The sequence below is a fragment of the Homo sapiens genome, chromosome X, assembly GCF_000001405.40.
Source record: "Homo sapiens chromosome X, GRCh38.p14 Primary Assembly".
Classification (NCBI taxonomy): domain Eukaryota; kingdom Metazoa; phylum Chordata; class Mammalia; order Primates; family Hominidae; genus Homo; species Homo sapiens.
Genome location: NC_000023.11, coordinates 10,155,136 through 10,168,663, shown reverse-complemented (window position 1 = coordinate 10,168,663; position 13,528 = coordinate 10,155,136). Strand labels below are relative to the sequence as shown.

The window sequence follows — 13,528 nt, the reverse complement described above, 5'->3', positions numbered from 1 at the left end:
CTTTTGTGCACTTTTCTGCACATGGATTTCAATTAAAAGTTGACCAAAGGCAACCCAAACAAGCCATCAGCTGGAGTTAAATCTCACTGCTTCACTTTACAAAAGTGAGGTTTTTCATTGGCATGCTTGCAACACTTCTTTGAAGTGCCCGTGAAATACTTTCTCTTTTCAAACACCCATTGCATCCTCTCTTGCAAAAATGACCTCCCACTGAAATAATTGAGGTCAGAAGTCTGAAAGCCCTGACAAAGCAAAGGCGCTGGAGTTGGCAAATCCCCTGTGCAGCGGGCAGAGGACACGGGCTCCACATTGCATTACAGGCTGTGGCGTGTTTCCCTGGTGCTGGAGGAAAAGGGGGCTGCTCGCATCAAAAATGACATCCCGCATCTGCAAAGGCCGAATGCCCAAAGTAACGCCCAGACAGCCAAACCCCACTGGCATTTGGGGAATATTTTACTGAAGCCTCCAGGCTATAAAGAGATACACAGGATATACATTTTCATGAAATACAGACCGTTGCCCATTTACTAAAAATCTATATATCCAAACTCATCCTCAATATGCCCTAATTTATCATCAATAGACCTAAACTTTGCATGAAGCTCCTCTCCTCTCCAACCTAGGAAGGAAAGAGAGAGAAAATACCATGAACAAATATGGAACGATCAGAGAAAAGTGGAGCTTCAGAAGGGGCAAAACGAAGGCAGCTATGGCCAGAGCCTGGGGAGCTGACCCAAGGAGAGACCAGCACTGGGCCTCCCCTCCAAGAAAGCTTTGGACCATTACTAGTCATTTCAGTTATCTGAAGCTGCATCACTAATTACCATTTACACTGACCATTCACACGGTTTCTATGTGTCAGGAAGTGGGGAGCAGTGTGGCTGGGTCTTTCTGGCTCAGCGTCTCTCAGGAGGTTGTGGTCAGGATGTCAGCCAGGGCTGCTGTCATCTGAAAGTTGGACGGGGGCTCCCTCACATAGCAACCAACTTGCTCGCTGGCATCCCCACAGGATACCCTGAATGTCCCCACGACATGGCAGTTGGCTTTCTCTAGAGGGGGTGGTCCAAGAGAACCAGGAGGGTCTCTAATGACCTAGCTTTGGAAGTCACACACTGTCGCTTCCACGGTATCCTATTGGTGACACAGGTCAGCCCTGAATGGTTCCATATGGGAGGGGACCACACATGAGCATGAACACCTGGAGGTAGGATGGTCGAGGCCCATCTTGGAGGCTGGCTCCAATACAAAAGCTTTTCACTGCCTTATTCCACCTTGCCTGAAACCCCAGGAATTTCATTTTCATTTGTAATCATTTTGAGTCTTGCTTTTAAAATGCGGGCACCTTTAGGATGATGAGGTGGCCAGGACTCATTCCACCCCTTCTAGCTAACCCTCCAAACACCAGAGGGGAGAAGACAGGAAGGCACTGACAGTGACGGGAGCCAGGTGGTGGCCCCCAGTGAGGGGTGGAGGGCCACACGACCAAGGAGTTTCAAACAGGGGGAAGCTCAGAGCAAAAGGATGTTCAGAAAGAAACTGTGCCTGTTTCAAAATTCTGCCTCGAACCAGCGGAGACACTTCCTTTTTCCTCCTCCCACTTCCTCCCCGGCCCCGGCCCTGCCCCCAGCACTCCCTGTGTTCCTTCAATCACAGTCTGGCTTCCATAGGACTAGGCAGCTGTTGTGTGACCATGGCAGGCTTCCTATGGACCCAGGGCCATGCAGCCATTCGTTCCACGTTGAAACCCAGCCCACGTGTTGGAAATAGGATGAGGCCAACCACATGTGGCCTCGGGTGACACAATGGCCTCAGTGTTCTCACACCCCCATCCCAGGGACAGGAGGGCTGGGCTGTGAGGTGTTTGTGTTGCTGGTGCCAAGAGCCAAGGGTTTGGAATTTCCCCAGAGACTTCTTCCCATAATAATAGTCACAACGCCTTTGTACAGGGCTCCGTGTACCTGGCTTCATTCTAAGCACTTCCCCCGTGTATGAAGTACCGCCTCCCTCAGGCCCACGTTACAGATAAGTTACAGATAAGCAAACTGCGGCACAGAGGTTAAGTCTCACACACAGTGAGGGGGCAGCTGGATCCAGCCCAGGTCCCAGGGGCCTTTCTCCACAACAGCAGGCAGGCCTCTGCCACCTCAGGACCCAGAGCCATGTGCCTCCATGGAGAGGGCACTGGGGGCCACGTTTCTCCTACACCGTGTGAGAATAGCTTAATTAAAGGCCCCTGGGTCGCGCTCTCATGCATCCACAAAAAAATGCTGCTGCACGTGCTTGCTAGGGCTGCCGTAACCAAGCACCACGGACTGGGTGGCTCAGATAACAGAAAAGGGTTTTCTCCCAGTTCCGGAGGCCAGAAGTCTGAGATGAAGGGACGCGCGCTGCTGATGCCTTCGTTTCACCATGATGACCTCTGTCAAGGCCCTATCTCCAAATAAGGTCACGTCTTGAAGTACTGAAGGTTAGGACTTGAATCTATGAATTTGTTGGGGACACAGTTCAAGCCATCACAGCTGCTGAAGACAGTGCAGGTGGGAAATCCCTCGCTCTTCTGGCACCTCCACAGCCTGGCCTTCCCTTCACCATTTTCTGACAGGTTTTCTCCACAACAACCTATTTTCTGCTTATCCAAGGTTCACACCCCCTCATGGATAAAAAGAAAATTTCAGGAGCCACTCGTGACTGGCAAGTGTGTAAAGCCTAAATGCTGGAAGGCACCCAAAACCGCGTTCATGTGCTGTTCCTGGTGGCCCGGGACGCCACGGTGAAGAGAGGCAGGCCACTCTGACCAACACACGGGCTGACATTTGAGCCAATTCCATGTTTGGGGTAAAAGGCGAGCTGGTGTGATGCGTGACTAAGCTAAGAGGAACAATCTCTCGGCTATCTGCTAACCACAGAGGCCTTTTCACCCAACCAGCACCTCCAGGGGTTAGAGTGGAGGGCGAAAAAGAACTTTCATATTTAGCCAAATCAACCCAGAAGGGAAGTGAAGAGCCAAGAGATAGGAGGACACAGTCAGCCCATCGGGAAGCATCGCGAAACTGCGGGCAAGGCTCAGGGGAGCGGCAGCCACAGAGAGGAGCCGCAGGCCCAGCACCCAGGACCAGGAGCAGCCTCCCCCATAAGGAAACACAGCGTTGGGGTAGCTCTCACATCAGCAAACCCCAAACCCATCCTGGGCGCCCCAACTGCCTCAGATGGAAAGAGGGGAACACCACCCTCAGGGGGAGCGCCCACCCACAGCCTCTCCTTCATGACCCTGCTGTTCCCATGTGTCGTCCCCAGGGCAGGTCAAGGGCCTGACCCCAGCCTTCCAGGACTCTCCTCTTCTGCAGCTTCAAGAGGGGTTCAAGTCCCCTCTGTGAGGAAGGCTCCGGTCTCACATCTACTTTCAACCCAGCCAACAGCAGGCTCTCTGTTGAATACGAGGGGGCTGAGTGCTCAGGGCTGAGGGAATAGCCAGTGCAAAGGCCCTGGGGCAGGGCAGGACCACGTCAAGAACAGTGTGAAGATGGCAAGCCAGCAGGCAGGGGCTTCCATGAACCCCCGATTGCAGGCCACTGCATCCCGCAGAAGCGCACGTGACAGGCGGTGCAGGGCGACCAGGGCCACTTGGAGAAGGCAACAAGGGAACAAGTGTGGGGGTTGACCCTCCAGCCACAGAGAACAGCCAATTCAGAGACTCAGTGGCAGGAACAAATGTGCTGGGCCCGAGGACAGCAAGCAAGCTGTGTAGCCAGAATCACCGGAGCCACCGGCAGCCTGACAGCTTGGGAGACTTCAGCCACGACAAGAAGCGGGAAAGAGAGCTTTTCAGGTGTCATGTGGGAATGTGCATGGCCATTTCCTCTGCTGTCCCTGGGAGGCCACCGCCCATCAAAGGTGATGCTGCGACTGAGCCGGATGCATGAGGACACGTCTGCAGCCTCCATGTCCTGCCCTGTAGTTCACACTACCCTCCCACGCCAGGCTTCTTTGATCACCAAGGGCCCACTCTGGCACCTAGGACAACATTGCTGCTAAAGAGGTTAGCTCCTCAGTCCAACTCACCTGGTCACCCTGGCCACTCCCCATCTGGCCTCCAGCCTCGCCTCCTAGCCTCCTTGCTGGCTGCCCTGCTTTCTTTCTCACCCACCTCTGACTCTGCTCCTGACAGCAGCCAGTCCTTTTAACCCAGTCTCAACATGTCACTCCCCGACACAGGAGCATCCAGTGGCTTTCCATCACACTGAGGACAATCCAGGGTTGACACCACAACTGCCAGTTCCAGGATGGCCTGCCCCCTGCGCCCCTCTGAGCACCTGTCCCCACCCCTACTCTCTGGGTAGCTCTACTTTGCACACGCCGATCTCCCTGCTTTCCGCAAACGCTTCCTGTCCTGCCCTGCCTCAGGGCCTTTGCACTGGCTGTTCCCTCAGCCCTGAGCACTCAGCCCACCGTGCTCAAGTGGCTCTCTCTCCATTCGGATCTCTGCTCAAGTGCGACCCCTCAGAGAGGCCTTCTTGCCCTCCCTGACCAGCGTTTGGAGTCCAGTGCTGTGCATCCTTTGCTGTCCATCCTTTCACTCAACACACAGCCTATCCAACAGCTACTTCCTCTTCCCTCAGCTCAAATCAGTCCCGTGAGGGCAGGAACCTTGTCCATTTGGTCCTAACATGTATCCCACTGCCTAGACTTGTAGGACTCAACCAACTGGGGGCAATACTGACCCCCAGGGGACATTTGGCCATGTCTAGAGACATTTTTTGTTATTACAACTGGGAGATGGGGTGCCACTGGCATCTAGTGGATGGTGGCCAGGGATGCGGCTCAATACCCTACATTGCCCAGAACAGCCCCCCATAAAAATGAATCATCTGGACCCTAACGTCCACAGTGTCAAGGTTGAGAAACCCTGGCCTAGACGCACAGACCCAAGGAATATTTGCTGAATGAAGAAGTAATTAAGGGGCCGGGAGCAGTGGCTCAAGCCTATAATCCCAGCACTTTGGGAGGCCGAGGCGGGCACATCCCCTGAGGTCAGGAGTTCGAGACCAGCCTGGATAACATGGTGAAACTCGTCTCTACTAAAAATACAAAAATTAGCCAGGCGTGGTGGTGCGTGCCTGTAATCCCAGCTACAAGGAGGCTGAGGCAGGAGAATCACTTGAACCTGGGAGATGAAGGTTGCAGTGAGCCGAGATCAAGCCACTGCACTCCGGCCTGGGCAACAAAGAGAGATTCCATCTCAAAAAAAAAAAGAAAAGAAATGAAAGTCATTTAAAAAAATACTTATCACAAAAAAAAAAAAATTCCTGCACATAAAAAAGCCACCCACTGAAAATGTGGTTAAACAAAGGTCTTGTTACCAAGGGAAAGTGTGTATGGGGGAAGGGATAGGAGGGGGGACTGTCCCCACACACCTCTTCCCCCAGGTTGGTAGAAGAGATGCGTCATCACACTAAACCCCTTTGGTCTGCTACTGCAAGGCTGACAGGTGGAGAGGAGGCAGGTAAGGCGAGGACCTCTGGGGCAAAGTGGCTGGGGCCTCTGGCCCATGTGATGGGGGCACCTGGAGCACAGGTTAAGCCCTGGGCTTCACCCCCAGACCTATTCAGTCAGAATCCCCAGTGTGTCTAAGGGTTTACATTTCTTTTCTTTTTTTCTTAATTTTTTATTATGAACATTTTCAATTACACAGAACATCATCCAGAAGAATCCAGTGAATAACACCAATCAGACTGAACAGTTGTTCACATTTGGCTCTATCTGCTTTATCTCTTTCTCTCTCTTCATTTAACTGAACCATTTAAAAGTAAATTATTGATCTTGAAGCCTGATCTTCAAAGTGTCATCTGGGGACTCCTTGGGCTCCCCAAGTCCCTTTAAGGGAGTCCATGATGTCAAAAACATTTCACAATATTCTGACATTGTTATTTGCCTTTTTCTAAGTTCATTCTCTCATGAGCATACAATGGAATTTTCCAGAGGCTACATGACATGCGATATTGAAACAGATTGAATGTAGAACCAAGTATGAGAATTCATCTGTCTCCTATTAAGTCATACATTAAAGAGATCTCAAGAAAACATCAAAAAAAGAAAAAAAGTAAATGACTGCTACCATGACACTTCATCTCTAAACACTTTAGTATACATCTCTAAACAAGAAGACTTTTCTACATAAACACATGTATTAGCTATCTATTGCTGCCTAACAACTTACCCCAAAGCATAGCAGCAGGACACAAACATCTATCATGTCACTGTTTCTGTGTCAGGAACCCTGGAGTGGCTTAGCTGGTGCCTCAGCTCAAGGTGTCTCACAGGGCTGCAAGCATCTCAAGACTCAACTGCGGCCAGGCGTGGTGGCTCATGCCTGTAATCCCAGCACTTTGGGAGGCCAAGGTGGGCGGATCACCTGAGGTCAGGAGTTCGAGACCAGCCTGTCCAACATGGCAAAATCCCATCTCTACTAAAAATACAAAAATTAGCCAGCCGTGGTGGCGTGTCCCTGTATTCCTAGCTACTAGGGAGGCTGAAGCATGACAATCGCTTGAACCCAGGAGGCGGAGGTTGCAGTGAGCTGAGATCGCTACCACTGCACTGCAGCCTGGGTGACAGACCGAGACTCTGTCTCAAAAAAAAAAAAAAAAAAAAAAGACTCAACTGGGCCTGAAGGGTCTGCCTCCGAGCCCGCTCACACCCTCACACCGTCAGCGGGTCTCAGTTCTTCTCAGGCTGTTGGAATGGACCTCGGGTCCTCACCACGGCAGATGGACCCTTTTGTAGGGCTGATCACGACATGGCAGCTTCAGTGTAAGCAACCCAAGAGAGAAAACACACCCCAGGCAGAAGCCCCTTTACACCCTCATGGTGGAAGTGCCTCTCCCCCACCCCTTGCTAGACGTATTCATTGGAAGTTCATTACTTGGTCCAGACCAAACCCCAGGGGAGAGGGTGATGCCAAGTTGCAGCTGCCAGGGGTGGGGATCACTGCATCTGTCCGAGGGGCTGCCGAACACATCACAGACTGTCACATCTAATCAAAGCAGCAGCAGTCTCCTAGTGTCACCTAATAGCCAGTCACATCAAAGCATCTCCAGGCATCCCCAAAATGCCTGTTACACGTTTGTTTGGGCCGAATCCAATCGAGGGCCACAAGTGATATTTGGCTATTCCGTCTCTTAAGTCTCGTTTGATGGAGAATACCCCACCTCCCTTTTTAAAAATTTCTTTCATGATATTACCTTGTTGAAGAGACAAGGCCAGATGGCTCATACAGAGCACCAAGCCCACTGGAGGCACACAGGAGCGTGACAGGCCTGCCCTGGGATGTCCGTGGACTGAAGCCTGTGAGGACAGTGGCGTGGGGAGTGGATGGAGCCAGCTGCTCTCACCCTAGCCCTCTGCACAGTGGGTCTTCCTCACCGAAGGCCAACCTCCCCCACCAGGGCTTTCCTATCTCCCCCCAGGAGACCATTTTCATGGTGCCAGGAAAGATGAGACAGACAGAGAGAGAGAGAGAGAGAGAGAGAGAGAGAGAGAGAGCAAGCTGATGGCAACGGAAAGGGAACCCAGGGGAGGGACACATCAAAGTCCAAAGCCTGGGGCACAAGGAAATGTTTTCTGGCCATTCTAAGCACCCCACCACCACCACATACACACACATAGTAAACATGTCCCCCCCTTGCTATGCTGCTGCCACCCCCGCTTCCTGTCTCTTGGGAGTTTCCCAGCCTGCAGACCCTCTCACTTCCATCCGTCCCTCCCCAACAGCCAAGGAAGCAGAGTCAGCAAGCACGGTTGGCCCCACTTTACAGATCCGACAGCAGCTCTGCAGGGTGAAGTGATGCAGCCACGGTCACCCTCCTAGGTGTCAAAGCCAGATCTTTAGTCCTGGACTGAAGCTTAAAGCATGCGACCATGTCTGCCCAAGCGAGTGTCCGTGTCGCTGGTGGTGCGGGCCATTTGTGTTTGCCTCCTCCTAGCTGCATAGACATTACCACCCTCTCGTCCTCACCACGTCCCCCACCAGCACCAGATGTCGTGTCGTTTCATCCTCACAACACCTCCGAGTGGACACTGTTATTCTCATTTTTGCAGACAAGGAAATGGACTCTCAGCTGTTAGGTCTAACCCAGGGTTAGACTACGTCCAGGGACGTGCTCCAGGTCTGCTGAGCACGAAGCCCCGGCAGGTTTCCACACACGTTCATCTAGTGCTCTGTTTTTTTCCTCTTTCCCTAACACTCTCCTTTCTGCCAAGCTCGCCTCCCAGCTACAAATGGCATACAAACAGCTCCTCCCCTTTTCACAGAAGCTATTTCTGGAAATTCACAGCATAAAAACGCCTTCACATTGTGTTTTCCAATATATGTGATATTAAGAAAGGGAATCAGATTTCTGATCAAGGGCTTGGCATCAAACCAATCATAAGAAAATGAATTCTTGGAGCCCGAAGAAGAATATTTCGAGATCATCTCAATCAGTGGTTCTCAACAGGGGGCAAGGGAGCCCTCAGGGGACATTTGGCAATGTCTGGCAACATTTTTGATTGTCACAACTGGGGGCTGGGAGGGGGAAGTGCTACTAGCATCTAGTAGGTGGAGGTCGGAGATTCTGCTAAACATCCTACAATGCACAGGACAGCCTCACCACAAGGAGTTATCTGGCCCCAAATGCCAGTAGTGCCAAGGTTGAGACACCCTGACCTAAATCCCTTTGTTACTTTGAGGACGAGATAGTCGAGGCCCAAAGACACTAAATGACATATCCAAGGCTGCACAGTCACAAAGCCAAAAGTGGAATCTAGGTCTGTATTAGATCCACCTCTATCATCTGCTTTGCTCTATCTAGGGTTGGGCTGGAGGAGAAGGGAGGGCGGGGACCCGGGGATCTTAATTTGTGTAACCAAACTGAACCAAAGGAAGAAAATTGCAATAAACAAGTTACTAAATTACTGCAGCAACACATCTGGGTGTCCCAAATTCTGAAAGAAATGCCTCCTTCAATTATTGATGGAAATAGCATTGCTTTACAGGCCCCCCAACGTTGCTGGTTGGTCAAATTATTCATGATGTGAGTTCCAATACAGTTTAGTGACAACAAAGCTTCCAGAAGGGTCAGGTTTTAGAGGGGAAAATAATGCCACATTCTCCCCCTAAGGGTGCCCCCACACGTCCTGGCTGTAGTTTCTTCCTGACCCCGAGAAAGGCATGTAAACGCTCTAGAAACAGTCCATTAAAATCCCCCACCCACTGTCATGCTAGAACTGAAGTCACCTGACCCCTCCATCTGGCGCTGTCATCAAGCCTCTCCATTCAGCAAGCGAATTATCAGCGAGAGAATTAACAAGAACTCTGGGAATTCTTAGGTTTTGGTGTTATCTCCACCCCCACTCTCTGCTAAAGATCATTTGGTTCTTAGAGATGTAGCTGTCTCTTACGCTCACATGTTATCTTTGGAAGCTGCAATTTATTTTTATTGTATTGGATACCGTTCTTTTTTAATCTACTTAAAACACCTGGAAGGAAAAAAAAAATACGTTTCTGACGTATGCCCTGTAAATGCTGGAACCTTGCAAAATAATGCAAAGCAATTTAGATTGCACATCTGGCTCTTAAATTGCTAACCAAGAAGTTTCCACTCCCCAGCCCGCTTTTGCTTTGAAAGAAATGAGGCTAATTACTGAGGACAAAGGCCTGTAATTAGTAAACATGTCGTTATTTAAGAAGCAGAATGACACTAGGAAAACACTTGATAGTTACCTCTTAAAAGCCCCTCTGTCTACTTAGAATGCATGCAGTGTGGTCACTTCAGATTTTGTTCCCCCGCCGGAGCGGTTTTTTCCCTCCCCCGTCTTTCTGTCTGGCCCCTGCCCGCTTTCTCGGGGCGGGCACGCCAAGACCCAAGTCACGCGTGGGCCTGCCACGGGCCATCCCCGGCCGGGTGCATGCAGCTGCAGCAGGCAGCTGTGGGCAGCAGGCGCCGCAGCAGCCAGAGGCCCCACTTTGGGTTTCTGGGGGCGCAGCCGGGCTGCAGGCCCGCGGGCCGGGCTCCACCTGCAGCGTCCGCGCTGCCGGGGGCGCCGGGGAGGGCATCCAGGCGCCGCGCGCCCCTTACCTGCAGTGCCGCATCGCGCCCGCGGCCGCCCACCTGGACAGCATCCTCGAGCATCCTTTCTTCAGCGCGACGGCTGCGAGCGCCGTGACATCACCAGGAGGCGGGCCCCACGCTGCCACGTGACGCCCTCGGGGCGAGGCAGGGAGGTGTGCGCGGGGTGGGGGGAAGACCCTGGAAGTCCCGGGAGGTGAGGGTCGATGGCCAGAAACCCTCGCGCTGGCCGCCCCTCAGGCGTTTCGCTTGATGTGTGCAGCTTGCCTGGCCTTTCGCGAAGAATTATGAAAAACAACACACAGGAGGAGAAATCCAAATTATTACAGGCTCCAAGCGAGTAATAGGATTTCAAAAGAATTAGCAATAAAGGGATTACAGTGAAAGGAAATACAATTTCATGTTTTATTTTAAAACTAGTATTTATCAAATGCAGTGGAGAAATAAACATTTTGTGCAAATCAAAATGACACAAAATATAGCATGGACATACTTTGCCTAGAGTTTCTATGTTTCAAGCCGTATATCGAGTATTATACCAAACACTTTAGTTCAAAGCAATTCATTATGGAACATTATACTAATTGCACGGATGAATAATGCTTTAATTACTCTGAATAGCTGCATTCCAATATTAATTTGTATTTGCCAAAGGAAAAAATGGTGACACCACGTATTTCTACTACTTACTTAAATATGTGATGATTTAAAATAAAGCACTGCTACGTGAGCATGGTTGTATTTGTGTCTCTGTTTTCTTACATCTTCTGGCAAGGCATTTAATCTCTGAGACATGACTTAATTCACAATAACTCATTATTTCACATTTTCTAATCTTTATCACATTCTGAAGAAGTGAGTCATTTTACTATCACAGAAAATATGTACAATGTCAACATTTCTCATTCACAACTGAAACAGCCTTGCCTAGAAAGACTTTAGAAAATTACAACTGTGATAATTTTGTAAATTTGAAATAGCGTATTTCAAACTTAAGCAGTGCACATATAAACTTTTCTTTTGCCAAAATACACAAGCGTTTTTGAAATGTAAAAGGACAAAAGCAAAGACTGCTTTTATTTGTATTCCAATTGCAAATAGATTCATTTACTTTCACTTGAGTTAAAAATCACAATTTTAACATTCCCTTTGCTCACAGCCCTGAAGGAGACATGAAATAGATTGTTTTACAAGCAGGCTAGAGTTAAGTTTACTTGCAGTTTATTCCATCAGCTTTCGTGTCCTTCTATATTTAACCCTGGCCCTTATACCGTGATTCCCTCCAAATTAACCAAATTTCTGTTCAGAAGGTTAATCTCTAATTTGGGGATAAATACAGCCCTTGACTCTCACAGCGATCAATTATTTTCAACACCAGATTTTAAAAATCAACAAAGTCGCAGTGTACTTTACTAGGTCACTCCTCTCAAATTTGTTTTTCTGAGTGATAAGCAGCTTACCTTCCGCTTTCAGATTCTGAGATAAAGTTAAAACGCTACCGAAATCTCCTGCTCCTTTGGGTTGAGGGTCTAATGGAGGCAGAAACTGACAAGCTCATTTTCCTGCCAGAGGCAAATGTCGATTTCAGCCCGGAGGGCCCCGGAGGCCGGCTGGGAGCATCACGTGCTCGGCCCAGCCACTCAGCCCTGCCCAGCCAGCCTGGTCACCTCTTGGCTCCGGAGCCCCGCCGTGCCAGTGTCATTCGCCTCCTACCCCCGGAGCATTCGTGTCCAGAGAAAACCCGGCGTCCCGGAGACAGGACGCCCCACCCTCAGGGGCTGGGCTGCACGGAATTCTGTGACCGGATTTTCCAGCATCAATGGGAGGTGGTGGGTATACAAAATGCCCTGCAGCCTGAAGAGGATGGTAGCACGGTGCAGACAGCCTTGCTCCGTATTCCGGCTTGGCTGAAATGACGAAATACAGGCAACCTTCTTCATCCTGGAGCAGTTTTTTTGCAGTAGGTTAGTTTCACCTTCTCTTTTTTCTAGGTGATTGCTCAATTGTAAAAAACATTGCAGCAAACCGGCAATTCAGACAAGGCCCAGAACTGGGCCAAGCAATTCTCAACAGAATGAGAGAGCTGTCTGAACACCCTCCACCCTCGCCTTTCAAATTGTCATTTTAGCCAAGATTAAAAAACAAAACCAAAAAAAGCAAAAACCAATACCACCCATGGGAATGTAAGTTGAGCAATCTTTCTGGTGGTCTGTTTAGCATTTTTCCTACCAAATGCCTTACAGATACACAGTTTCGCCAATTACTCCGGGCCCTACAGCTGTTGGTATCATGTGCTCCAGCAACTTGATGTCCAAGAATTTGTCCTGGGGTGTGGGGAGTGGGGGTGGGGGGAAGAACGGTGTGCAAACCCCTGACTAGGGAAAGTTTGCTGCAATATTACTTATGATCTCAAAGCACTGGAAACAAGTTAAATCTCCAAAAACAGGGGATGTTTTAAATTATAAGCCATCTGTGCAGTGGAAGAATTAAAACTAATACGGTGGTACACACGGATGGAAAAAGACATGTGCAGCGGATTAAATGGGAAAAAAAATGGAAGCTTCAAAGCATTATGTGCTGAGTGATCCGTCGTTTCTATGTAGGTGTAATATATTTATATCTACACATATACCTTTGCGAACACAGAAAACTATTAGGAAATGAATTCACTAAAGTATCAAACATGGTATCTCACTGGTTAGTGGGATTAAGGGTGTTTTAAATTTTTCTTCTTTTAAGCTTAGAGATATCGTCTAATTTTTCCACAGTGAATATGTATTGCTTTTATAGCAACAAAAAAATTGTTTTCTTAAAAGCACCATATAGACATGATTATGGAATAAACAAACAGTTTTGGCTAATTTTTTAATGCAGATTTCATTACTTGAAGATCCTGAATTCTTAACCACAAAGTCCCGAGGGAACAATCCCTAGCCATCCTAGATTATTCTGCTCATGAAGATCTTTAGGAAAGAAAGTGCCATTCAGGGGCCGTTGTTAATATTTAACCATCTGTATGTCCAGTTTTAATTTCTCTTCCATTTAAACCTACTTCTTTTTACTTTGCTCTGTGTGGAGATAGAAAGCTGGTTATTACCATCCTTCATGAAAAGATTCTTTCAATAGTTACGGAATAATAACCTTTGAGTTTTTTGTTCATTCGAGACAGGGTCTCACCCTGTCTCCCAGGCTGGAGTGCAGTGGCACGATCATGGCTCACTGCAACCTCAAATTCCTGGGCTCAAGCAATCCTCCTGCCTCAGCCTCCCAAGTAACTGGGACTACAGGCTCTTTCCATTGTCTTCACAGATTTCTCTTTCCTATCCCTTTGAATCTTCTACATTTTTTCTCTTATCTGCCAGTTTTCTACAGATGTCATACAAGGTTTAGAACAGCGGTTCTTAATGGGGTGATGTTGCTCCCTT

General features: G+C 49.2%; 1 protein-coding gene across 2 annotated transcripts in view; it reads right to left on the bottom strand.

Moving 5' to 3' along the window:
• The window catches only part of CLCN4 (chloride voltage-gated channel 4), an 80,686-nt gene extending 68,997 nt beyond the window's left edge, over positions 1-11,689 (bottom strand). For both annotated transcript variants that reach the window (NM_001830.4, NM_001256944.2), the window contains exons 1-2: positions 11,564-11,689; positions 10,113-10,375 (exon numbers count right to left, since the gene is read on the bottom strand). The gene's annotated coding sequence lies outside the window, so the exon portion shown is untranslated. The remainder of the gene's footprint in view (positions 1-10,112; positions 10,376-11,563) is intronic.